Below are 26198 nucleotides of genomic sequence, written 5' to 3'. Positions count from 1 at the left end.
TAAATCAAAGTGGCCAGTATTTGTGTTCCCGCCATGTTCCTTCCCATGCTAAGATCCTGCCACAGACTGGGCTGCACTCCTTTGTTCTAGCTGTCAGCTGAGAATCTTTTCTCAGAGTCTTTATGAAAGCACCAGCAACCTTACTTGTGTCCTTGGAGCTCGATGGCTGTTCCTTTTCTCCCACCGATGTCCCACATGATGACAGAGTGATCTGAACTGCCTGAGAACAACACCCGCTGGACTGGGTCCCAACAGAGAGCGGTCACCCCACCTGAGAGGACAGACACAACCAGACATCAGTCACAAGGTAAGACTCTTACCCACAAAAGAAATGTGAATGCAGCGGAGACAGAACCTAGTGCAGTTCCTGGCATACAATAAATTCTTATTGAAAGAACAATCAAGTAAGTCCCCAAAGAGAAAAAAGTTGGCTCCAAGGAAATTCCCACCCTTTAAGCATTTTTCACCAACATTTCATGTACCATAAAATCAATTACTGTAAAGACCAAAAGAAAATAAAAAAGACAATAAATTGACCTTCAAAAGGGAGACATAATTCTAAGAAGAATGGAAAATATTGCACTGTTTGGAAATATTAACCACATTTTCTTAACTGCTGCCTGCCTCCCACCCCTGACAATAACAGATGAGAAGGAAATGGGTTTACAAATGCTCAATTAGATTTTTTATTCTTGAATATCAGATTTAATTAGGCCACAATATCAGAATTTAAAATTATGTTTGCTCTTTGGGAATTTTAATTTACAGATTCCGGGCAAACTTCTTATGTTCTTAAATGTCAGTTTCCTCAACTGTAAAATGCAGATGATGGTAACACCATGACCACTATGACTATTACTAAGAATGAAAACATCAACCCAGCCATTACCTACTTCATACGGTTGTGGTGAGAATTAGATCAATTACATAGGACCATTCTACCACTCTAAACTTGTTGTGCAGTATAGATGTGGGTTATTAGGATTACTGTAGTGGTATGGCTATAAAATATTATAATAGATTTTCTATGGTAGTCCCTTTGTAAATCAAACCCTTATATACTGAGAACAATAAGAATTTTTTCCACTTAAGATGTGCACAAAGCCTGCAAACACTTAAGAATGTCAGAAATACTCATTTTTTACATTATTAAAAATATTATATTCTGAAAAGAACATAAAATAGCTTCTCATTTGTTGGAATCTGACATTTTTCTTATTGAGATTATCAGTTTGTTCTAATGAAGTGCTACACTTAAGAGCTTTCAGGGAAGTTTCTCTCATACATTTGTTTCAGGAGAATACTTTCTTATTTGTCATATGACTCTTCTTAGTAAGACATTTTTTAAGATCAAAAAGTAGGGGGAACCCCAAACTCTACTATTCTGGATTATGCTTCCTAGCGTCTTCCTAAACCTGCACCCCATGCTGCTGGTATACACTCCTGCTCATGTAAGAATAAACATGGCTTCCCCAAGTGCATATGTGGTTAGCCACTGCATGTAGCCCAGCCCTCACCCCCGACCACCAACATTCCCCACAACAGCAACCAAACACAGTGATGGATGCAGACAGGCCGCTCACTGTGTTGTCTGTTAAAATGTATTGTCTGCTGAATGAAGGAGCAGATGAATGCAAACATAAAGATAATTTTCTCCACTTCACACAAGTTCTTGCTTAAAGGTCACCTCCTCAGAAACATCTTCCTTGACTACACTCATCACTCTCCTGATTATTCTTTTTTTTTTTTTTTTTTTTTTTTTTTTTTTAAATTCATTGTCTCCTGCCCCAGTAGAATAGAAGCTCTAGGAGGGCGGGAACTGTGGCTTGTTCACCACGGGATCACCAAAACCTAGAATTCTGCCTGGCTTACCCACAGCAAACACTCAATAAGCCTGGACAAATGGGCAAATGATTGAATGAAGGAGTAAGAATATGAAAGAAATGCCCTTGGCTTTGTTCTTGGCAGATTAAACAGGCATATGACATCTATTAATGGGTTAATATTAGATTAAATGGGTTAATTAGATTAAATGAGTTAAGATTAAATGGGTTAATATATATAAGCACACAAAACAGTACCTAGCGCATGGGAAGCATGTGCCTGGCTGACTACTATTGTTAATGTGATGCCTGCATCTGTTCGACTACTCACATCTTTAGGTCATGGCATACCCATCTCAAGGACAATCTCTGAGATGGTCTCACTTGACTGACTAAGCCACTCCAACTGGGGGGCTAGATAAGAGAAAGGTGGCAAGTGTTTGATTTCCCCTATATAACACGTGAAATGGGTAGCTTAGGTTCTTTAAGGCATCATTATCAGATTTAATAATGGTGGGCACTGGTAAAAAGAATGATTAGAAAGGCTTACTTGACTCAGTTAAAAAGACTTAATTGGAAGGGTTGTTCATTCTGTCAGAATCAACATGGAAATATTGAAATAGGGCTTACCATGACCCAGGTGACAGATACCTTTAGACTTCCCTGACCGATATATACCTACACATCTAAGAACACTACACCATGGGGCCGGGTGCGGTAGCTCACGCCTGTAATCCCAGCACTTTGGGAGGCCAAGGCGGGCTGATCACGAGGTCAGGAGTTTGAGACCAGCCTGGCCAATATGATGAAACCCCATCTCTACTAAAAATACAAAAATTAGCTGGGCGTGGTGGCGCGCACCTGTAGTTCCAGCTACTTGGGAGGCTGAGGCAGAAGAATCGCTTGAACCCAGGAGGCAGGGGTTGCAGTGAGCAGAGATCACGCCACTGCACTCCAGCCTGGGCAACAGAGTGAGACTCCGTCTCCAAACAAAACAAAACAAAAAACACTGCACCATGAGGAGCCAGCTCTCTGCCTTCTTTGTTGGTGACTATGGGATGAGGATGGTTTATGGGGATAGAAGAGAAAGTTTGGATATGGTATTATAAGTGTACAGGCTCTGGAACCAGAATCTAGTCTTAAATCCCAGCCCTATCTTTATTAGGTATAGGACCTTGGACAAGTTACTTAACGTTTCTGTGCCTCAGAAGTCTCATCTGTAAAACAGGGATGATAATAGTACCTAACCCACAGTATTGTTGAGATTAATTGGGTTAATATATATAAACACACACAACAGTGCCTAGCACATGGGAAGCACCACTCAACAAATGTCAGCTATGATTACAGTACAGGAGACCTCATCTATACAATCTCTGTGACAGTGTCCTTTGTTGAGTCAGCCTTAAGGCCAGTCAGCTTATTCTATGCTATCCCAGCCATCATGAGATCAATTAAGGTCTTAAAAACAAGACCAATCTCTAGCTTTGCCACATTATATCAGGCCAGAAGGGGTCAGGGCTAGGAAGGGGAGTTCTTGGCAACACAGAGAGTTAGGAAGGCAAATAGATAAACTGGTTAAAGCAAGTCAGGGTATATTCATCAGACACTCCCAGGGCCCAAAGTGGAAGAGATAGAAGGAAAAGCTGCAAGACAAGAAAAAGTTTAGGATGGTGTAGGGAGTAAATAACTCTGGGGTCCCATGCCTGCTCTATATAAATGTCCTAACAATGAGGTCATTTGAAAGTTGGCCTATAAATGATAAATCACAGCATTCATTTCAAATCAGTTCAACAAGCATGTATTGAGCCTCTTCTATGTGGAGGAACTGTGCTAGGCTCAGCAGATACAATGAAATAAGACTTACATTCTACCTACCAAAAATGTACAATGATAAGATGATGGATTACTTTTGAGAACAGAAGAGCATGCACGTTATGTTTGGTCGAGCCATTCTCTTACGGGATATGTGACTGCTTCCCCTGTCTGGAGTGCCTGTCCTGCCTTTTATCACCCAAGTAACTTTTTCTCCCTCCAGGAAGCCTTCCCAACACCTTCAATCCAGGTGAAGTTCCAGTCTCTGTGCATATCTCTATTGCTACACAGACCCCACTATATTGAACTTGGTTGGATTATAAGTCTGTCCCCACCGCAGACTTTGGGTTATGTATCTTTGTATTCCAGCACAGCACACAGTGACTGGTATGCAGGAGGTGCTCAGTAGATGTTTACTCAACTGATCTGCTGCATTGAGTGGCAGAGAGAAATAGGAGGACAATAAGCAAGAGGCATCCAGGACAGCCTGGGATGGCGGCTGGTGGGAAGGCTGTGCAAGACATCAGGATCAGAGATGCAGTGGGGAGAGCTGCTGATGGAAACGGCCTCTCCCTTCTGAGGGAATTTTTCCTGCATCTCTCTGCACACAGGGCTTCCTGATGAACTGTATAGTTCTTTCTCCTAACACTTCTGGCAGCAGAGGAAGTCAACCACCTTCAGCTACCCTGCATTCCAGGCAGTGCAGACACATATCTCATACCCCAACCCACACTGGGGGCAGAGCCCAGGGCTTCAATGCTTGTGGTTTTCCAGTGTTTCTATTTTAAATGACAAAAAGCATTTCTTCCATTTCATTTGACTTCATTTCAAGTTAATCCATCTTTCTGGTCCCTTTCAGTGTTTCATTTTATGCTTCTCCCTTCCTTTGACCTCCCTAATATGACCTACAGAATAATTTTTAAATAAAAATGGTTTAATTCTTACAAATAAAGTTTTCTAGTTATTCTTTAGTGGGCACAGGTCTTCTATTAAGGATGATGAAGAAGTTCTGGAAATGGATAGAGGCAATGGCTGTACAACACTGTGAATGTACTTTATGTCATTGACTTGTGCATTACTTGTACACTTAGAAGGTTGAAACGGTAAAGTTCAGGTTACACGTATTTTATCAAAATAAAAAAATCGCCAAAATATTTTTAAAATAAAAGTTTTCATAATTATACAATGTATACTACTATATACTCTCATAAATATAACTGTTAGTGGTTGGCTAATATCTCCCACGTATGTATCTTATTTCAACTATTTTTAGATTTTTCTCAACTTTTAAGTATGAATTTTTCTAAGATGAATATTTTTACACATACAATTTTGTTCAGGTTTCCAATTAGTTAGAAGAGAATCCCAAATGTAGAAATGAATCAGAGAGTATAAAGATTTTTAGAAATTTAATATATATTACCAAAATGCTTAGGGAACTAATTTTTTTTTGAGACTTTTACCACATACCTTGCAAAAGTGAATGACCACGTGGAGTGTTACAAAATCAGGGTTGGAAACTGCTGGGTCTGCCTTTCCCAGAGTGTGATCTGGTAACTTAGCAGAGGGAGTGTCACACCACACCCTCAAGGGTAATATGTGCAGGCCAACATGAGGCTAAAGGAGACTAAGAGCCTGTTGAATAAAATATCTGACCTTTTGATTGCTGCATTTTGCTCTAGAGTGAAGTGACAAGGGTTTTTGTCAAGCTAAAGGCCCTCCATCTCTAGAGTATACCTTCTTCCTGAGATCCATAACTCTTCACCCAGCTGTCTCTTTGCTGCCACCCCAGGGAAGTGTTCAGTTCAAGCACAGTGCTATTGTCTCCTAGACCTGCTCTCCCAGCAGTACTCCAGGTTTCAGGAAATGCCATCACCAGCCAATACATGCTCTAGACAGAAGCCTTGGGAGTCACTGCTACTCCATGCAGTTACCAAATGCGGCTGACCCCTGTTCTCCAAACAGATCTTAAATCTCCTCCACTTGTCTCCACACACACTGCTGTCCCCCAGTCCAAACAAAGTCAGCTTTCCAAGGGACTCCAGCAGTAGCCTCCTAAACAGTCTCCCTCCATCCATTCTGTTCCCAGTCAATCTACCACCTACTGCTGCCACAGTGGCTTATTAAAATGCAAACCATGTCACTACTCTGTTTAAACTTCATCACTGGTTTCCCGCCAACCTGAGAATAATGCCTGAAGCTCCTACCACTACTTGTAAGGTCACTTGCCTTTGTGTGGTTGCTAACATTTTCCCACTCTAGGCTGCTGTTCTGCAGGTCTGGAATGTTCCCACCACCTACATAACTCCTTTTTCTCCTTAAGGTGCTATTTAAACACCACTTCTGGCTGGGCACAGTGGCTCACGCCTGTAATCCCAGCACTTTGGGAGGCTGAAGTGGGCGGATCACCTGAAGTCAGGAGTTCAAGACCAGCCTGACCAACATAGTGAAACCCTATCTTTACTAAAAATAAAAAAACTTTGATGGGTGTGGTGGCGTGCACCTGTAATCCCAGCTACTCAGGAGGCTGAGGCAGGAGAATTGCTTGAGCCCAAGAGATGGAGGTTGCAGTGAGCTGAGATCGTGCCACTACACTCCAGCCTGGGTGACAGAGCAAGACTCTGTCTCAAAACAAAAACAAAAACACACTTATTTGGGAAGCCTCCCTTTAATTATCCGCAAGAGGAGTGGACCTTTTATTATTTGCTTCCAAAGAAGCCTCTGTGCACATCAGGGCTCCACGGCACCTGCTACTCATAATGTTTGGATGAATTCTCTGTAACTACTGGTCTAATGCATGCATTCCATGCTGGCTGGAAGATGGATAAGGGCAAAGATTATGCTTGTTTTATTCACCCACATTTCCTGGCACCATCATATACATAGAGAGCGGATGACTGACTATGGATGACAATTCACATCTCTTGACCTGCACTTTATATAAACTGGATCTGTGTGAGTCTCCACTGTAAACAAAAATTGAAGTTCTAAACTATATGAACTTGCATCTTTACACTGAACTGTGACTTTCTTAGTTTGTTTAGTTATTCTTGTTATAGTTACACTGTTTCCTTCAATGAGTCCCCTAACAGCTCATGAACAAGTCTGTATTTAATTATTCATTAATTAGTATGCTTTGGCAGATTTACATTCAAGCCCTCCTGTTTCAAATATGTTCATGCTAATAAAATAATTTCTTAGAAATAAAAGAAAAAAGACTGTATTAACACTATTAATTTCCAGTGGTCAAAATATGATTTTTGGCCACGTACGGTGGCTCATGCCTGTAATCCCAACACTTTGGGAGGCCGAGGCAGGTAGTTCATTTGAGGTCAGGAGCCTGGCCAACATGGTAAAACCCTGCCTCTACTAAAAATACAAAAATTAGTCGGCCATGGTGGCGGGCACCTGTGGTCCCAGCTACTAGGGAGGCTGAGGCAGGAGAATTGCTTGAACCTGGGAAATGGAGGTTGCAGTGAGCCAAGATCATGCCACTGCACTCCAGCCTGGACGACAGAGCGAGATTCTGTCTCAAAAAAACAAAAAAAAAATTCTCCTCTGTTCAAGTTACTTTACGACTTTTTCATAGAAATACATTCTACTTTCTGCAGAAATAGCAAAGAACTATGATATCCGGCATTTAGCTCCAGAAAGAAAACCAGTAGAGGGAGCATAAGAACATAAAACTAGTTTCCTAAATCCCTAGGGATTAGAAAAATGTTATGCTTTGGCCTTTGGACATGACTACTAGGTCGATTCCCTCATTAACCCACATTTTTGTATGACCTTCTGTACTGTAAGAGAGAATGATGGGGTGAAGGGCTACGACTCTGGACACATACTGAAGACCTGTCTGCTTCTGAGTTTGGATTTGGAGTGATGGGACCTGCAAAGCTGCCCTTTAATGGAACTGGGTTAACTTTAGGGTGTTCATTTTGTCCTTACAAAAATCTCTTTCCCAGAACTGAGACTTGCTGTGTTTGGGACCTCCCAGGGCCCAGAACGAGCCTACTACTTAGGAAGAGCTCAACAATATGTCTAAATCACCATGGACTCTCTTAAAGGTCCTCACTCTAGCTTTACAGGAATGAGTTGTGTTGTAGCCACATTAGTGATGGGCAGATACTACTGTTTAGGAACAATAATAAGGTAACCATCTAACCTGCTACATTTGCCTTCCTGTTAGTTAGTGACCTTCCTAGGCCATTTCCTGTTTTTCTCAAATATATTTCTTGATAAAAATAAAGTGAAAATGCTTTAAACTCTTTAAGAAAGATAAGACACAATGCCAAGGTCATATTTCGTATCAGAACAAGCCTGCAAAACACGGGACCTTTGAACCATATGTGGCTGACAAGAGTGCTTAGAAGGTGCTACTGTCTCTTTTCTGACCTGGAGGCAACAATACAAAACTCACAGAGCTCCTATCAGCCACCATACAGTGAGTGGGTGAGTGCCTGATTACTTTAGAGTCAAGAAGTCAGGCTGAAAGCCACCTCTGCCTAAAGCAAACCTGGGAACCATCAGGTCCATCACCAGGCCTGCGGAATGCACCTCTGAATCCTACCTTGAATCCATCCATTCCTTGTTTTCCCACTGTCACAGTCCCATCTCAAGGGACAGTTCCCTACTAGCTTTCCAATTCCACTCTCTACTGCCAGACAACCTTTTAAAATCCAATCAGGTTACCTTCTTTGCTTCAAACTCTTTAATGGTCTCTCAGTGACCACTGGATATGCCCAGCATGGTCTCAGTGATGGGAAGTGACTCTTGCTTTCTGGCTGCCCCTCCACCTTGACCTCCCCTCTCCTTCCCTCATACCCAGTGTTCCTGCCAAAAAAGAGTGACTGGCAGTTCTCTAGAGAGCCATGCTCTCACACATCTCCTTGCCTTGAACACGCTGGTTTTCTCTGCCTGAGATACTCTTCTCAGTTGTTTTCCATGAACTCAATACTTACACATCCCCAAAGAGCTGAGGTCAGGCAGACTCCTGAGGAGGCCGTCACTAACTGCCTCCACTTCCTTGGAGTGGGCTGCCCTTCTGTGTTCCCAGAAGCGCAAGGTGCTTGCTCCCCACCAGCCCTTGCCACGATGCACTAGAACTGTGCTTTAGCTTTTGTCTCTCTCACTGGGTTGTGAAGAATTTGAGGACAATGACAATTTTACTCTGGGACTGGGAGGAATGGCTGAGATGACAAGGGACAGCACAGAGCGTAAAGAGAAGGGGATCCAGGGAAGATCCTGGGAAACCGCAGACCACAGTGGAGCCTGAGAAAGCCAGCAGCGTCATAGAAGAAAAGCCAAAGGAAGGCCGTTACAGCCAGAAGGAATGGCCACAATGTAAAATGCTGCTGAAAAGTTAAGTACGACAAGGTTTACAACGTGTCCCAGCAGGCCACTGGTCACCTCGGGGACAGCAGTTTCAGTGGCGTAATAACGACAAACCAGATTGCAGGGAGCTGGAAGGCAAATTGGAAGTGAAAAATATGAAGCAGCTGGGAAAATTATATTCTTTTAAGAAACACGATTGTTTGCTACAACTTGGATGAACCTTGAGGGCATTATGCTGAGTGAAATAAGCCAGTCACAAAAGGACAAATACTGCATGATTCCACTCCTATGAGTCACCTAGACTAGTCAAATTCATAGAAACAGAAAGCAGAGTAACAGTTTCCAGGGACTGGGGGGCCGAGGGGGAGGATGGGGAGTTAATGTCCAAGGGAACAGAGTTTCAGTTTCACAAGATGGAAAAGGTTCTGTGATGGATGGTGATGACTGCACAACAGTGTGAATGTAGTTAATGTCATTGAACAGCACATTTAAAAATGGTTAAAATGGTAAACTTTATGTTTTATACATTTTACCACAATTTTTTAAAAAGAAGCATTGCTATTAAGAGAATAAGAAGGAACTTGCTATAAGACATGGGATTGAGAGGGTGTTGCTTTGTTTTTCTACCAGAGGCAAAAAACATAAGCATATTAATAAATTGAGAAGAATGAGTTAGTCAAAAGAGAGATCAAGGCAATCCATTTTGGCGTGGAGACCCTGCAAATAGACTGGGGCCAGAGGAAAGCAGCTCTCCTGCACTGAGAAGAGAAGAATGGGCTGGAGGAAGACTGCTCTCCTGCACTGAGAAGAGAAGAATGGGCTGGAGGAAGGCAGCTCTCCTGCACTGAGAAGAGGAGAAGTGGGGAGAGAAAAAGTTTGTTTGTTGGGGTGAGGGGGATATACAGTGGGCAAGAAATATGTGGTTTTTTTTTTTTTTTTAAAGCTTCTATTTGATAGCTTTTGAAGGAAGAGGCAAGGAATGAGATGGCGATGGGGGCTTGGGAAGGATGGTGAAGGTCTCTGTTTAGGGGCCTGGGAGAAGGAGTGAACTGAGGACAGGGAGAGGGATTATTAGGCAACTTCATGAGTCTGCACAGGAAATCGTGAGTGTGCAATGGTAATGATGGTCTAAGCCTCAAGGCAGCGTGACTACTGTAGACCCAGCAGCTGGCTGCACAAGAAGAAAAGGTGGAGAGTTAGTCTGAATCAGACAGGCTTGCCAAGAAGGCAGAACATTTACATTCACAGAACTGAGAACGCTGAGAAGCCGTGGGTGAAGCGATGCACCACTGGGAGGAAAGGTGATGCAGGGGAAGAGACGCTGGGAAAATGGAAGGACCGCGGGCTAGAATGCGCCACAAGGGGAAACAGTAAGTGGAATGAAGAAAGGTGTAGGGAATTGGAGGATGAGGAGGCTGAAGTCTGCAGTGACGCACAGAAGTTTAAGACTTCTGAGGTGGGACAGTTCTGGGTCCCCCCCAGAACCCCAGGCCCAGTCTTGGCCAAAGTGTAGGTGAGGGTGTAAGCGGCTAAAAAAGAAATTCAGTCAGGGAAGACCAGGGTCCTATCCATAGGGGATATTTCCATGTGTTCTTCCTCCCAAAGGCATAAATAATTAAGATGATCTTTTATGAATCTTCTTCCTTGGATTCAATTTTTTCCTTACTATATGTTTCTTATTCTAGCATTCCATTTTTTCCCTTTAGGAAGCCCCTTATGAACCAGGTACTATCCAATTTTACATCCTCTTTCCCCTACTTTTTTTCTTATATGACATCTAAACTCAGTATTCTCCTGTTTTACACAAAATCATGGGTTTGTAGCTGGTAGAAAACGGAAAAGCCCTTTAAGAACCATGAAAACTGGCGATGACTCATTTTCTAGGGTCGATAAGTTCTAGAGTCAATAGTACACGTTAAAACTACTAGTAAAAAATTAATCATTATCATCTATCAAGTCTTTCAAAGGCTAAGCATGAATATTTTATATTACCTTGCTTAAGTGACCCTGAGCAAAGCAAAAACATAAAGGGGACCTTAGGTTTTAACCTGAAAAGGATATGAAGGAAGGAAAGTTGGAGAGGAACTTGACCTTTTTCACAAAGTCTAGCTACTCATGAAGAGTATATCTGTCTTTTCATGTGACTTGGAAGTGGGAATCTTTCTTGTACACCATCTTCTAACTCCAGGAAGGGCAAGGTCAGACCGAGGCAGCTGTCTTTTTGGCCTTCTGGGGTTTGAGCCGTCCGAGGCCACATGGTCTCAAACAATGCCTCATTAATGTATGCCAACACTGGCTTTCTCTGGTGCAGTATGACAGAGAACCAAATTATCAACATTTTCAAAATAGATTGGTTTCTCTTTTGTTTGGATTATACAGAAAAACGTTTGATGTTATATCTTACTGAACCATTTTGAAATGAGTTAAGCATATCATGTGTATCTTTGCACAAGCATGGATTGTACTTTGCCACTTTCAAAACATATCTGAACATCAGGAGATGCAGCAGGCGATATCTCACTGTGCTATCAGCACATGACGATTTTACTGTTAATCCTACCTGTGTGTCCTCTGAATGTTGTGACCAGGGTGCAGTTTTCTTGCTCCAGTTTGAGGATTGTTACTTGGCCTGAGTGGTCACCGATAAACACATGCCGGGTTTCAACATCAAATCTGTCATGAAAGCATTAAGGATTGTTTCTCAAAATTAAATGAGGGAATTTACAATGAAAAAACAGGGCATAAATGTAACAAGAAATACGCAAATCCCATCTGAGGAAAATGTGAAGACAGTGCTGAAAGACACAAAAGTGAACTTAACTAAATGAAGGACATACTGTATTATTGGACAGTAAGACTTAAAACTTAAAGATGTCACTTCTTGCTCCTAAATTAATAAAATAAATCTATATATTTAAAAAATATCAACACATGTTGTTTTCTATAGCCAGAAGTGTTCATATGGAAAAATAAATAAGCAAAAAGAGCCAAGAATACTCTGAAAATAAGAACAATATGGTATGTGATAGGGAGGTTAGCCCTACCAGATATTAAAAAATGTTATAAAGTTTCTTTAATTAAAAGTGTAGTATTGGTGCATAAATAGACTAACAGAACAGAATACAAAGTCGAGAAATAAACCCAAAAGCACAATGAAATTTAGTAAATGTCTGATGAAGGTAGCTTTTCAAATGAATAAGGAAAAGATGAATTTAAAAAAATGATGTTGGCACAAACTGGATAGCCATTTGGAAAAAGAAAATAGAATCTGTATTTCACAATGTATACTGGGACAGATTCCAAATGAATTAGGGATCTAAATGTAGAAAATGAAAACATAAGCTTTAGATAGGAAAGTTTCTTTGTAACCTTGGAGTGGGAAAAGCTATGACTCAAAAACACAACAAATATTATGAGCAAAGCCAAAAGATAAACTGGAAAAAAATATTTGCAATTTATGTCACAAAGGGCCCAAATCTCTAATATAAAAAGAGCAATCAAGAAGAAAAGGATCCCAAACCTAATAGAAAAATGGGCAAAATTTGAATGGAACTATTAATAGATAGTTCAAGAAGAAATCAAAATGGTGCTGTGAAAAAAGAGTTAACACAGCAGCTCTGACTGTGATCCTCTGAAAGTCGGCTTACGAAGTTGGCATAGTGTCTGGGAATTTGGATTTTGGGAAGGTTCCCACCATTAACTGATAAGAGTGGCTCACTGTGCCTTAACTGTTCAAATAATGTGGCTTACACTGAATACCTGCTTTCCTTCTGGGAATCTGGAATTTTGGAATGTCCCAGGTAGATCTGCCTACGTGACCAGTAAAAGCCCTAGGCATGGAGTCTCTAACAAGCTTCTCTGGTTGACAAAGCCTAGCAACCCTATTTCTAAAGATCCACCCAGAGACACACAGGCAAAAATACAGAATGACACATGCCCAAGGCTAGTCACTCCATGTTATTTTAATAGCTAAAGTTTGAAAATAACCCAAACGTCTATCAATAAGGGACTTACTGAATTAACTATGCTACATCCACACAATAGAATATTATGCAGCTGGGGTAAAAATGGAGATCTTTATACACAGACACCAGGATATATTATCAAGTGTGTGTGGAGGGGGCAGCCAACGCATATGAGAGTTTATAAGCTATACTACCTTTGTGTAAGAAACAGAGAGAAATACAAATGTGTATGTATGTGTGTGCATGTGCATGTATGCACTCATATTTAGAAAGGGAAGCACTAGAGGGATTAAGATCTAACAAAAGTGGCAAGGTCAGGGGACAGTGATGGCAGTGAGACTTCTCCCTTGTCATAGTTCCTATTTTAGAATTTTGTAAAATCTTTACATATTAAAAGGTACAAAAATTTGTGGCCAGGCACAGTGGCTCATGCCTGTAATCCCAGCACTTTGGGAGGCCAAGGAGGGAGGATCACTTGAGCCTGGGCAACAAAGTGAGACCTCATCTCTACAAAAACTAAAATAATTAGTTGAGCATGGTGGCACATGCCTGTGGTTCCAGCTACATGGGAGGCTGACACAGGAGGATTGCTTGAGTCCAGGAAATTGAAGCTGCAGTGAGCCATGTTCAAGCCGCTGCACTCCAGCCTGGGTGACACAGTGAGACCCTGTCTTAAAAAAAAAAAAAAAATTGTGTATATATAGATATATACACACACACACACATATGTATATACATACACATATATATCTCAAAAAATCCCCCAAATTGAAAACAAAGTAAAATGAATGAACCTATCAAATTGGTGACATAATCACATAATTAGAACAATTTCGAGTGCCTTTAAAACACAACATTTTCAATGTTTCAATGTCTCACTTTGTTGCCCAGGCTGGTCTCAAACTCCTAGGCTCAAGTGATCCTTCCACCTTGGCCTCCCAAAATGCTGGGATTACAGGTGTGAGCCACCATGCCTGAGCAAAAATTTTATGTATTTTTAATATGTAAAAATATTACAGGATTCCAAATGGGAACTATGACAAGGGGGAAGTCTCGCCCCCATCACTGGTAGAATATATTCTAAGGACAAAGAGAGTTGCAAAGAAATCTAAAATCTCATTCAGTAGTCTTATTGTTATTTAGTATTGCTCATTATTTTGGAACCATTTAAATAAACCGTAGGATAAACCAAATGAGGAACTATGCCAATGTTTTAACAACCAAGATTTTCAGCCGAAGATAAAAGAATCAAGTGCAAAAACCAAAAAGTAAAAATCCCATAATGTTAAATTTGAATAAGAAATATTATATGAACTTATGATTTATTCTCTTTTAAAAAATACACACACATTTATATATACTTCTTAGCTATCTCTGAATATTGTTCCTCACTAAAAAAATGGCTGATTCCAGGATTGGGACAGGAAAAGTACAAGATGAACTTGAGACATGTTGAGTCAGAAGGCAAGGAAGCTACTGAAGGCTAAGTGGGCTTATTTCAGACACAGTGATAAGGGATGAACTGGTAGAGCACAGAGGCTATTTAGAGCAGTGAAACTATTCCATATGATGCTACAATGGCAGATACATGTCTTTATATACTTGTCCAAATCCATAGAATGTACAACACCAAGAGTGAACCCTAAACTATGGACTTCAGGTGATAGTGACGTGCCAATGTAGGTTCACTGATTGTTAACAAGCATACCACTCTGGCGGGGGATGCTGGTAATGGGGAGGCCATGCATGTGGAGGTCATGAGGTGCACAGGCAATCTCTATACTTTCTGCTCAATTTTGCTGTGCACCTAAAATTGCTCTAAAAAATAATCTTTAAAAAATAAAAATTGGGCTGGGTGCGATGGCTCACGCCTGTAATCCCAGCACTCTGGGAGGCCGAGGCGGTCGGATCACGAGGTCAGGAGTTCGAGACCAGCCTGGCCAACATAGTGAAACCCTGTCTCTACTAAAAATACAAAAAATTAGCTGGGCGCGGTGGTCAGTGCCTGTAATTTCAGCTACCCGGGAGGCTGAGGCAGGAGAATCGCTTGAATCCAGGAGGCAGAGGTTGCAGTGAGCTGAGATAGTGCCATTGCACTCCAGCCTGGATGGCAAGAGTGAAACGCCATCTCAAAAAAAAAAAAAAAAAAAAAAAGTTAAAAAAGACATTGGAGCCCATTTAATGGAGCTATTACTGGCCAAAAATAGGATAATTTGAACATAAAATAAAAAGATGGCAGTTTATTGATATATACTGAACATATTATTATTTAAAAACAACCAACCAACCTAAGATTTCATAATAGTGCTCAAAAAGAAAAAAAAAAGATTCCTATTAAAGGTGAGCAGGGCACCAAATCTGTACTCTGAAAATTAGGAACTAAAAAGACAGATATAAGAATTTATCTTGCTTTTCCTATAATAATTGTATTTCAGGGTAACCAAATAGCCCTAGCTAATGAGGCAGGGGAAGTTATCCTTTAGGATTCCAACAAATACATGGGAAAAATATGATAGGATTAGAAAATCACCATTTAGCAACCTTAACGAAAAAGTGTTCAGGCAAAGCTCAGCAACGGATGAAACTATTAAAAGGCTGGTATGGAGGACGGCGCTGCAGGGATCTGGCTGTCACCACCCGAACTGCCAATCAATCTCAGCATAACTGAAAGGGCGACAATCCAATGCCATGTGCCTTATAATGGGAAGCTCTATGAAGCACACTTGGTGAGAACCAAATGCTCTCACTAAAAGGCTGAATCTGAATGAAATCAAGATTATAGGGGCAGTTTTTCAGTTTACTGAAAATATGTGAGGAGAGTAGGTAAAGGAGCAAGTTAAATGACATCAATTTAGAATATGGGACTGTGTGCAGGAGAACTGATTCAGTACCTTCAACAAGGCGGTGGCATTAAAAAAAAGTGAAGGGGGCACTGCTCTGGATGAAGAAAGATTTAGAAGACGTGACAACCACATGCAATGTGTGGATCTTGTCTAGATCGAATTTCAAACAAATCCACTGCACAAAAGCCATTTTCAAAATAAGCAGTGAAATCTGAAATTCAACAATATCAAGGAGATCAAAGAGTGATTGTTAATTTTTAGATGTAACAATAGCATTGTGATTACTGAAAAAGTAACCCATATATTTTCAATGAAGTATATAAGGATAAAATGATATAAGGTCTAGAATTTGCTTTAAAATACTCCAGCAAAAATTGAGAGAAAGCAAAAAGGGATAGAAGAATCAACAGTGGATGTGAATGACTGGCATTAAGTATGATAGGAAGAAATTGACATAATCTTAACAGCTTTTCAGAACTCTTTACCTGAACAGAAATAAATCTAAGAGATTACATTAGGTGGGAAACATTCCACTACACAGGGTGACATTGTGGAAATATCTCTGACATGAACAAAATCCTAAAATAGAATATTTGAATTATTTTTGTGAAAACAGGAAAAATATTATCAAAACATGGTCAAATAACAAGACACTGACAAATGACGCTGGATAAAGTATTCACAAATTTAAAGACTAACAAGTGAAGTGGGGAAGGAACACATTTCTATTTACTATCATCTACCTGCCATGGGGTCTTTGGGAAATAACCCCATTCTGCTGTACCCAGTTGTGCAGAGGGCTGGCTGAAAAATTACAATCCCCCAATTCTAATGCTGGTTCTGCCGGCTAACAGTTACGTGACCTTGAGCAAGTCACCTACTCCCTGAGCCTTGGTTTCTACACTGTGAAAACAGAGAATTAGGTCTTTTGTTTTTACTTCACATTATTGTTTTGACAGTGAACAAAGTAATGTGTAAAAGACTGAAAATCTAAGACATTTTCAGGGCCTGCAAATCTGAGATTTTTTTCTTTTCCCTTTTCCTTTTCTCTCCTTCTTATTATTGTCATTCTTGTTGTTCCTATTACAGGTCATTTATATTTGAAGCTTCAGATCTTCGGTCAAAACAATCAAAGAATTTGAAGTTATTCATAAATTGATAATTCAATTTATGAACCAGTCTCTTTGTCTTCCTTTACTTTTCTACTTGAATTTTGGTTATTTTCATTGCATATTTACTTCTCCACTAAGACGCCTGAAAGAAGAGGAATAAAGGCTGAATTCAATCTGATTTAGTCTGTCACTTGTTGCCTTGGCTGAATGACTGTTTGAGGTGGAGATAGAAGAGAATGAGTTCATCTGTGGAGGTCTCTTATCTACCATTAGCTGTCTACTATGAAGATAAATAGGGTTAATGATATTATTCATAATCTTTTATGTTGATTCATAAAATCTTCCTCCTCCCTTCATCACTAAAACAAACAAACAACAAACAACGACGAAACCAAAACCCCTGTAAGTGTGGAGGGTGACAAAAAGAAGGAACAGAGAAGGGTGGGGGGTGGGAGGTTCTCAGAAGGAAATGTTTTTAAAAGCTAAATTTAAATGTGAACCCTAATACTGTATGGCTTGCCTATTAACAATCTATCAGCCAGCTCCCAGAAAAAACTTCCAGCCTTAGAAAAGTCACGTGGTTCTTGGCTGAGACCCTCTGGCAAAAGCACAGAGCTGTCATGCCATCAGTGTTTAGCAATGGAAAAATACTCAAGAGGAAAGGTTGGAACTATGGCTCCAAAATCATAGTTGGCAAGGCAGAGCTGGCAGAGGTCAGGGAATCTTCTGGGAGGGCCTGTCTGTAGTACTGCAGCTCTCTACCACCTGAACAGTGAGGCTGGCTGGATGGAACTGAAACCAGAGGCTCTCACACACACAGGCTTCTGATACCCAATCATACGACTTTCTGCTTGGTAAACCACATGGTGTGGCAAAAGGGAATAGTCACAAAATGAGGATGACTCCTGGAGATGCTCGAAGGGAGGAGCTGTGGTGGTTATAATCCTACATCAAAGACAACAGTCAGGGCAAATTGGACATTGTCCATTTGTTTTTTATTTTCAAATAGTTTAAAAAGTTAGCTTCCTGAGGCAAGATCTGTATTTTTTTTCCATACTCCTTGGGCTTGGCTAAGTGATACAGAAACCAGCATAAGACCAAATTATATTGATGCCATTAGTTCCTTCTTGAAGGAGCAATGCAGTATAATGGGAAAAAAACAGGAGTCCAAGGCAGAAGGCCTGGGTTCTTGTGAGGATTTTCCTACTTACTAGCTGGGTGGCCTCAGATAAGACATAGGACCCTTTCTGGGCTTCAGCCAGCTCATCTGTAAAATGAGGGTAGTGTAGACTGAATTCTAAAAAAGTATTTAATTGACAAAGATTGTATATATTCAAAATGTTGAATGTGATGATGTGATATACATACACACTGTGTAATAATCATCATGGTCAAATTAATTAACACATCCATCACCACGCATAGTGACAGTGTGTGTGTTTGTGTGTGTGTGTGAAATAGAGAGAGAGAGAGAGAGAGAGAGAGAGAAGACAGAATGATTATGTCTCCCCAAAATTCATATGTCAAAACCTAATTCCCAGTGTGATGTTGTTTGTAGATGAATCCTCATGAATGGGATTAGTGCCCTTATAAAAAAAAAGGCCACAGAGAGCTCCTCTGCCCTTTCACCATGTGAGGACACAGTGAGATGTTGTCTACGAAGCAGGAAGCGAGTGCCCTCACCAGACACTGAATCTGCTGGTGCCTTGATCTTAGAATTCCCAGCCTCCAGAATTGTAAGCAATAAATTTCTGTTGTTTAAAGGACACCAAGTTTACAGTAATTTATTATAGCAGCCCGAATGGATAAAGACAGAGGGTTGAACTAGGTGATCTCTAAGTGCTAACACTAAGTGCTTCCAGCTCTAACACTATAAGAAGTCATTTATGTATTGGCAAGAGAGTTCATGTATTTCAACTTAAGTATTATGCTCATCTGAATTGGCTTTTAAAAAGTAAAGTTTGGAGTTTCTTTTATTAACAAGTACTACTACCCTCTCAAAGATGAGCTGATCCTGCCTGCCATTCCTTATCATCCTTGCCTTTGGTCTTCTTGGCAACTTGCTACTTTTACAACTTTCCACAATGGTCATTCTAAGTTTCTTCACCTTGCTCTTCCAGTGAGAAAAATAAGAGTGATATTAGCATATATATACATAAAAATATACCTTTGAATGCCGCACAGTTTCAAAGAAACTGCAATGTACTTTGTCAGATGTTGCGAATCACTGAATAGGCATTTTATAAATATGGAGATGAAATTAGAAAGCAGGACTTACTGTTTCTTCCTGCTTTTGCTGACAAGTGACCTGTTTCTACCTACCTCTCAATTTGTCAGAAGATAAAAAGACCATATGCTTTTTAAACTAAGAACCCAGTTTACTCCTTACAATGGTACCTGCATCCACACATGCTACACACTAGTCAATACTGTGCTTGCCGGAGCCTAGTCGGGCAGCTGTGAGCATTACCCAGCATCAGCAAGGATTCACCATGAGCATGAGGACCCTGGCAATCAGGGGGACAAAAATATCCCTCTATATAATCTGAAAGTGTCTCATTCCTGGAACAAAGCTTTTAACATTACCATGTAGATACCAGCTCACCCACTCTGGTCCTGGCATGGTAACCTCTCAATAACTATTTAAAACTGAACAGGATTCCTATGGTTCTTCTCCCAGGCACCAATGGGAATGTTCACAACTTTGGTATCTATGTGTAAATTACTTCTGTACAAAGAGCAAAGATTACATTTTGGTGATTTCATCTTCATGTACCATAATTATTTCTGACAGCTGAGGTTCATGAATCTGCACTGTGTTCTGTCTAGATGTCACACCTCATGTTACAGTAGGCTCACAAATGGCTCAGCAGTCTATTATTTCAGGTCAAGTGACCGCACTTCACTCTACTTACATGGGAACTCAATGATTTGTGCCTCAGGAAATTCTATGAGCATTGTAATCCACACTGGGCAACTGTCATTAACAAAACTTTCAAGCTGCACATACCCCAAAATTTCATGAATCAAAGAGAACAACAGTTAAGTTCCCACTAAGAGATTTTTGTCCAGCAAAGGATACTGCAGGCCTGAGGCCACAGCACTGGTCCGATAACCTCCCAGGCGCTGCCCACTCTCAGAGCAGTGCCAGGCAAATTGCTTGTCCTGTCCTGTGCTCAGCACCCACTCCAGCTCCAGGACAAACAGGATCATCGTCACTCTGCTCTGATGCGCTGAAAACCAAGAGAAAAGAAAACAACCTATAAAGCATCCTAAGGAGGTTGGAAGAACATGGCCCACAGAGATGCACCATTCTCTTCTCCCCACCCCAGAATAAGCTGAACAGCAGAACCATTTTAAGGACAAGGTAGAACAGTGGTTCTCGTGGGGGTTGGGGGTATTCCCCTTTAAACAGGCGTGTCTGAGTGTTTTGGGTGATTAAAAAAAAACTATCCATCTCTTCCCAATGTTCCCCCTCCTGCCCCACTTGTGCCAACCCAAGGATTACTGCCACACATAGCTCCTGTAACCAAAGGGCCTGGGCCACCTCCCTCAGACACGCTAGGGCTGCTGGACTGGAGAGAGCCACATCCAGTGTGACCACAAAACACATTAGGAGTGATGTTCATATAATATCACTACCGTCAGTTTATGTGCACTTACAAAAAAACTGGAGCATACTGTTAATCTTTTAATGAAGTCTGTCTTATAAAGCCATACAAAAGTTCTAGATGAACACTTTCTTTCAGAAATTAAATGCATGGAAAGGAGGACAGAATTATTCCTAAGAACCACATAGAAGAAAGTGAAGTATCCCTTATGTTACAGTGTGTGTGTGTGTGTGTGTGTGTGTGTGTGTGTGTGTGTGTGTATGAATGATAATAAGAGCAAATTTCCTAGAGTTGTTAATAAACAAGAGCAATATGATCACAGTTATCACATCACGTAATTCCAGAATTAGAAGAGGCTATTCATATCAGTTAACCCATCTCCCTATTTTACATATGGACAAAGTGAGGCACAATGAGGTGGAGTAGTTTGGCTGAGGTCTTACAGCTTCTCAGTTACCAAATGAAATCAGGTGGAAGGATTTTTGCCTTCTTATTTTATATTCCAGGCAGTAAAGTGGAGGGCATCTGCAGTCACTGAACACAGCTGACTGGAATGAACAAAGACTGACATCCTGCAACCTAGATCTCACTGGGCCCTGCTCCCAAGGGCTGGCAGTCTGATGGGGCATGAACACACTCATCATGACTGTGGTGAGGTCACAGAGAAGACACTGGTTTCACATTTTGATCATGAAAACAGAGTTAGACAGTATGGATGGACAAATGCGGCTCTGCTGACAATAATAATACCATCTGCCAATTTCTGAATGTCTTACAAGTGCCAGGCACTTAAATACATTCTCTAGCTTAATCATTGTAATGACCCTGCAAAGTGGATGATTTCATCATTTTACAACAAATACAACCTTAGCAAGATGGCCCTTTGGGATTGCTACCATACAATACAGTCAGAACCAGCATGAACAGCCACAGGGCAGTCATTCAACAAATGCCTGATGCTTTAAGAGCTGGTATTTGAAGCTTGGAGAATCTAAGGGAATAGGGAAGCAGTGACACTGTGATGTCTCTACAATACACAACTGCTTTCGGAGTACCAGTCACCATCAAGATCAAAACACAGGCTTTAACTAAAAGATGTGACTTCTTGGAGAAACTCGTGAAGATCTTTTTATGTCTCTATCGTCAAATGTTCAATTCAAGTTCTATCAGTGATGGAATAAAAAGTGAACTCTCTAATGAGTTCAAGTATACTCAAGTCGATTTCAAGCAGAAAGTGGCCCCTAACACCTCACCCCTCTTTTTACTGAGGGGGCCTTTAGCCTTCTATCTACCATATTCGAGCCCAAGGGGATGACAGTAGCCCTAGATGATAAGGGGCTTTAGTCCTCTGAGCAGCCTTCCTGTGCCAGAGGAGGCAGAGGCTAGAAATGTTAAGTGGCTTGCTCAAAGCTACAAAACCAATGAATGACAAAGAATCAAAACCCTATTCTCCCTGATGTCAAAGTTGGTTCTCTCTCTCAGTGTCAGGCTACCTATGACTACCAGAAAACAAAAACAAACAAAAAAAACCCCAAAACTCAGATCACATACTTCTGTTTAAGGTGAAAAAGATTCTTTTATTGAAAAAAAATTTCAAAGATACATAACTTATCACTAAGCTTCAGAAATTCATAAGAAAAAACATGGGTTTGATGTCTGGCTATACTTCTTTAACAGGAGTGGTGAGGGGGACATCTTTCTTGCCTTGATCCTGATCTTAGAGGGAAAGCATCTCTTTTCTCACCATTAAGGATGATGTTAGCTGCAGGGTTTCCATAGATATTTCTTTATTGAAGAAGCTCCCCTCTAGTCCTAGTTTGCTGGGAATATTTTGTAATGAACTGGATTTTACCAAATGCTTTCCCACATTAATTAATATAATAACATGATTTTTCTTCTTTAACCTGTTGACGTAATGGATTACATTGATTTTTGAATGCTGAACCTGCTTTGCCTATCTGGAATAAATCCCACTAGGTCATGCTGTGTAATTCTTTTTAATATATGGTTGGGGTCAATTTGCTAGTTTTTTTTTTTTTTTTCATGAGAGATATTGGTCTGCAGTTTTCTTTCTTGTAGTGCCTTTGGTTTTGGGATCACTTGTTGATTTTTTTTTTTTTTTTTTTTGAGACGGAGTCTCGCTCTGTCGCCCAGGCTGGAGTGCAGTGGCGGGATCTCGGCTCACTGCAAGCTCCGCCTCCCGGGTTCACGCCATTCTCCTGCCTCAGCCTCCCAAGTAGCTGGGACTACAGGCGCCCGCCACTACGCCCGGCTAATTTTTTTGTATTTTTAGTAGAGACGGGGTTTCACCGTTTTAGCCGGGATGGTCTCGATCTCCTGACCTCGTGATCCGCCCGCCTCGGCCTCCCAAAGTGCTGGGATTACAGGCGTGAGCCACCGCGCCCGGCCCACTTGTTGATTTTTAAAATTTTGTATTGAGATAAAATTCACATAACACAAAATTCACCACTTTAAACATTTTATAGTGTATAATTCACTGTTTATTAGTTACTCACAATGTTGTGCATCATCACTATTATCTATTTCCAGAACATTTCCATCATCCCAAAATGAAACTCTATATTCCCAACTCCCACTTCCCTCATCCTCGGAAAACACTAATCTATTATCTTTCTCTGTGAATTCCCTCCTATTCCTGACACTTCATATAAATGTAATCATACAATACATGGCCTTTTGTGTGCGGCTTTTTTCTCTTAGCATAAGTTTCCAAGGTTCAACCATTTTGTAGCATGTACTTCATTACTAAATGGCTAAATAACTCACTGTATATATATATATCACATTTTGTTTATCCATTCATCACTGATGGACATTGAGGTTATTTCCATTTTTTTGGCCATTATGAATAACGTTGTTATGAAGAGGTACATATGAGTTTTTGTGTGAATACTGTCATGCTCCACATAACGATGCTTCAGTCAGTGATGGAAACTGTGGCACCATAAGATTATAATGGGGCTGAAAGGGCGTGGCTGTTCTAGCACAATGCATTACTCACCTGTCTGTGGTGATGCTGGTGAAAACAAACCCACTGTGCTGCCAGTCATTTAAAGTACAGCACCTACAATAATGTTACTTGATAATGATACTAAATGACCCATGTTACTGGTTTATGTATTTACTATACTATGCTTTTAAAATCAGTATTTTAGAGTGTACTCCTTCTATTTATATATATATTTTAAAATGTTAACTGTAAACTGTAAAACAGCCTCATGCAGGTCCTGCAGGAAGTATCCAGAGGAAGGCATTGTTATGATAGGAGGTGACAGGTCCATGGGTGTTATGGCCCCGAAGACCTTCCAGTGGGACGAGCTGTGGAGATGGAAGACAGTGATACTGATGATCCTGACCCTAAGTAGGCCTAGGCTAATGCGTGTGTTTGTGTCTTAGTTTTTAACAAAAATGTTTAAAAAGTAAAACAAAAATATTAAAAATTTAAAAAACCAAAAAACCTAGAGAATAAAGGTATGAAGAAAAAATATTTTGTACAGTTGTGTTTGTGTTTTAAGCTGTTATTACAAAAAAGTTGAAAAGCTGAAAAAATTAAAAAGTTTATAAAGTAAAAATAGAGTACACTAGGTTTATTATTGAAAAAATATTTTTAATAGCCTAAGTGTACAGTGTTTATGAAGTCTACAGTAGTGTACAGTAATGTCCAAGGCCTTCACATTCACTCACTACTCACTCACTGACTCACCCAGAGCAATTTCCAGTTCTGCAAGCTCCATTCATGGTAAGTGCCCTATCCAGGCATACCATAACATTTTTTAAATCTTTTGCAGCAAATTTTTACTGTACCTTTTCTATTTTTAGATATGTTTATTGTAACAAATACCATTGTGCTACAACTGCCTACAGTATTCATAACAGTAACACACTGTACAGGTGTGCAAGCCTAGGGAGCAACAGGCTATACCCTCTAGCCCAGGCATGTAGTAAGCAATCCCATCTAGGTGTGTAAGTACATTCTCTCACATTCACACAACACTGAAATCGCCTAACAATGCATTTCTCAGAATGTGTCACTGTCATTAAGCAACACATGACTATATATGCCTTCAGTTCTGTTGGGTACATAACTAGGAGTGAAAATGCTGTGTCACAACGTAACTTTATATTTAACTCTTTGAGGAACTACCAAACTGTTTTTCAAAGTGGCTACATTTTACATTCCCACCAACACTGTTAAGAGGGTTCCAGGCCTGGGTGCAGTGGCTCACACCTGTAATCCCAGCAATTTGGGAGGCCGAGGCAGGTGGATCACCTAAGGTCAGGAGTTCAAGACTAGCCTGGCCAACATGGTGAAACCCCATCTCTACTAAAACATACAAAAATTAGCCGGGCATGGTGGCAAGCGCCTGTAATTCCAGCTACTTGGGAGGCTGAGGCAGGAGAATCACTTGAACCCAAGAGGCAGAGGTTGCGGTGAGCCAAGATCACACCACTGCACTCCAGCCTGGGCGACAAGAACGAAACTCTCTATCAAAAAACAAAACAAAACAAAACAAAAAAACAAAAACAAAAAGAGGGTTCCAATTTCTCCACATCCTTGTCAACACTGCTTTCCTTTTTTTTTTTTGAAAGGAATTAATATTTATTGGACCATTAAACTATGTTTCAGATACTTCACTAAGTAATCCACATATGTTATCTTTTAATTTTTTACTGTATTAAAATATACATAACAAAAAATTTACAACTGAAGTATACAGTTCTGTGGCATTAAGTACATTCACACTGTTGTATAACCATCACCACCTTTCACTCTCTAGAACTTTCTCACCTTCCCAAACTGAAACTCTTTACCCACTAACTCGCCATTTCCCCCTCTCCTGGGCCTTGGTAATCACCATTTGCCTTTCTGTCTCTATGAATTTGATTACCATAAGTATCTCATATATAAGGGGAATCCTTCAGTATTTCTCCTTTTTTTTTTTTTTTTTTTTGAGATGGAATCTTGCTCTGTCACCCAGGCTGGAATGCAGTGGTGCAATCTCAGCTCACTGCAACCTCCACCTCCTGGGTTCAAGCAATTCCCTTGCATCAGCCTCCCAAGCAGCTGGGATTACAGGCGCACACCACCACGCAGGCTAATTTTTATATTTTAGTAGAGGCTGGTCTTGAACTTCTGGCCTCAGGTGATCCACCCGCCTTGGCCTCCTGAAGTGCCGGGATTACAGGCGTGAGCCACTACGCCTGGCCTTGTCCTTTTCTTGATTGGCTTATTTCACTTAGCATATGTCTTCAAGGTTCATTTGCATGTGTCAGAACTTCCTACCCTTTTAAGGTTGAATAATATTCCACTGTATGTATACACCAAACTTATTTATTCATTCATGTGTTGATGGGCATTTAGGTTGCCTCCACCTTTGGGCTATTGTAAACAATGCTGCTATGAACATGGGTGTACATATATCTGCTTGAGCCTCTGCTTTCATTTCTTCTGGGCATACACCGCTAATTTAATTTTGAATGTTAATCCGACACTGTATTACTGAGATAAACTTCACTTGATCATGATGTATTATCTTTTTTACATATTGCTGGATTTTATCCACTGAAATTTTGTTTAGTTTTTTGTACCCATTATCATAAAGAATGATGGCCTATAGTTTTCTTTACTTGTATCATTTTGGTCTAGTTTTGACAAGAGGTAATGTTGATCTAATAG

At 40.5% G+C, this 26198-nt stretch overlaps 1 protein-coding gene and 1 long non-coding RNA gene across 10 annotated transcripts in view; one reads left to right on the top strand and one right to left on the bottom strand.

The window, feature by feature from the left end:
* The window catches only part of WDFY2 (WD repeat and FYVE domain containing 2), a 183248-nt gene that overhangs the window by 28390 nt on the left and 128660 nt on the right, over positions 1 to 26198 (bottom strand). For all 9 annotated transcript variants that reach the window (XR_007063659.1, XR_941483.2, NM_052950.4 and 6 more), the window contains 3 exons: positions 19972 to 20122; positions 11530 to 11642; positions 145 to 271 (listed from right to left, as the gene is read on the bottom strand). Coding sequence is in view for 7 of the 9 variants with exons in the window: in NM_052950.4 (NP_443182.1) it covers positions 145 to 271; positions 11530 to 11642; positions 19972 to 20122 (391 nt within the window). In the remaining 2 variants the exon portion in view is untranslated. The remainder of the gene's footprint in view (positions 1 to 144; positions 272 to 11529; positions 11643 to 19971; positions 20123 to 26198) is intronic.
* On the top strand, positions 222 to 17067 carry LOC124903177 (uncharacterized). Its single transcript, XR_007063807.1, has 2 exons — positions 222 to 307; positions 16867 to 17067. It is a non-coding gene; the product is annotated as an uncharacterized LOC124903177 (long non-coding RNA).

This window comes from Homo sapiens, chromosome 13, assembly GCF_000001405.40.
Source record: "Homo sapiens chromosome 13, GRCh38.p14 Primary Assembly".
Taxonomy (NCBI): domain Eukaryota; kingdom Metazoa; phylum Chordata; class Mammalia; order Primates; family Hominidae; genus Homo; species Homo sapiens.
This window is presented reverse-complemented; position numbering and strand designations above follow the sequence as displayed.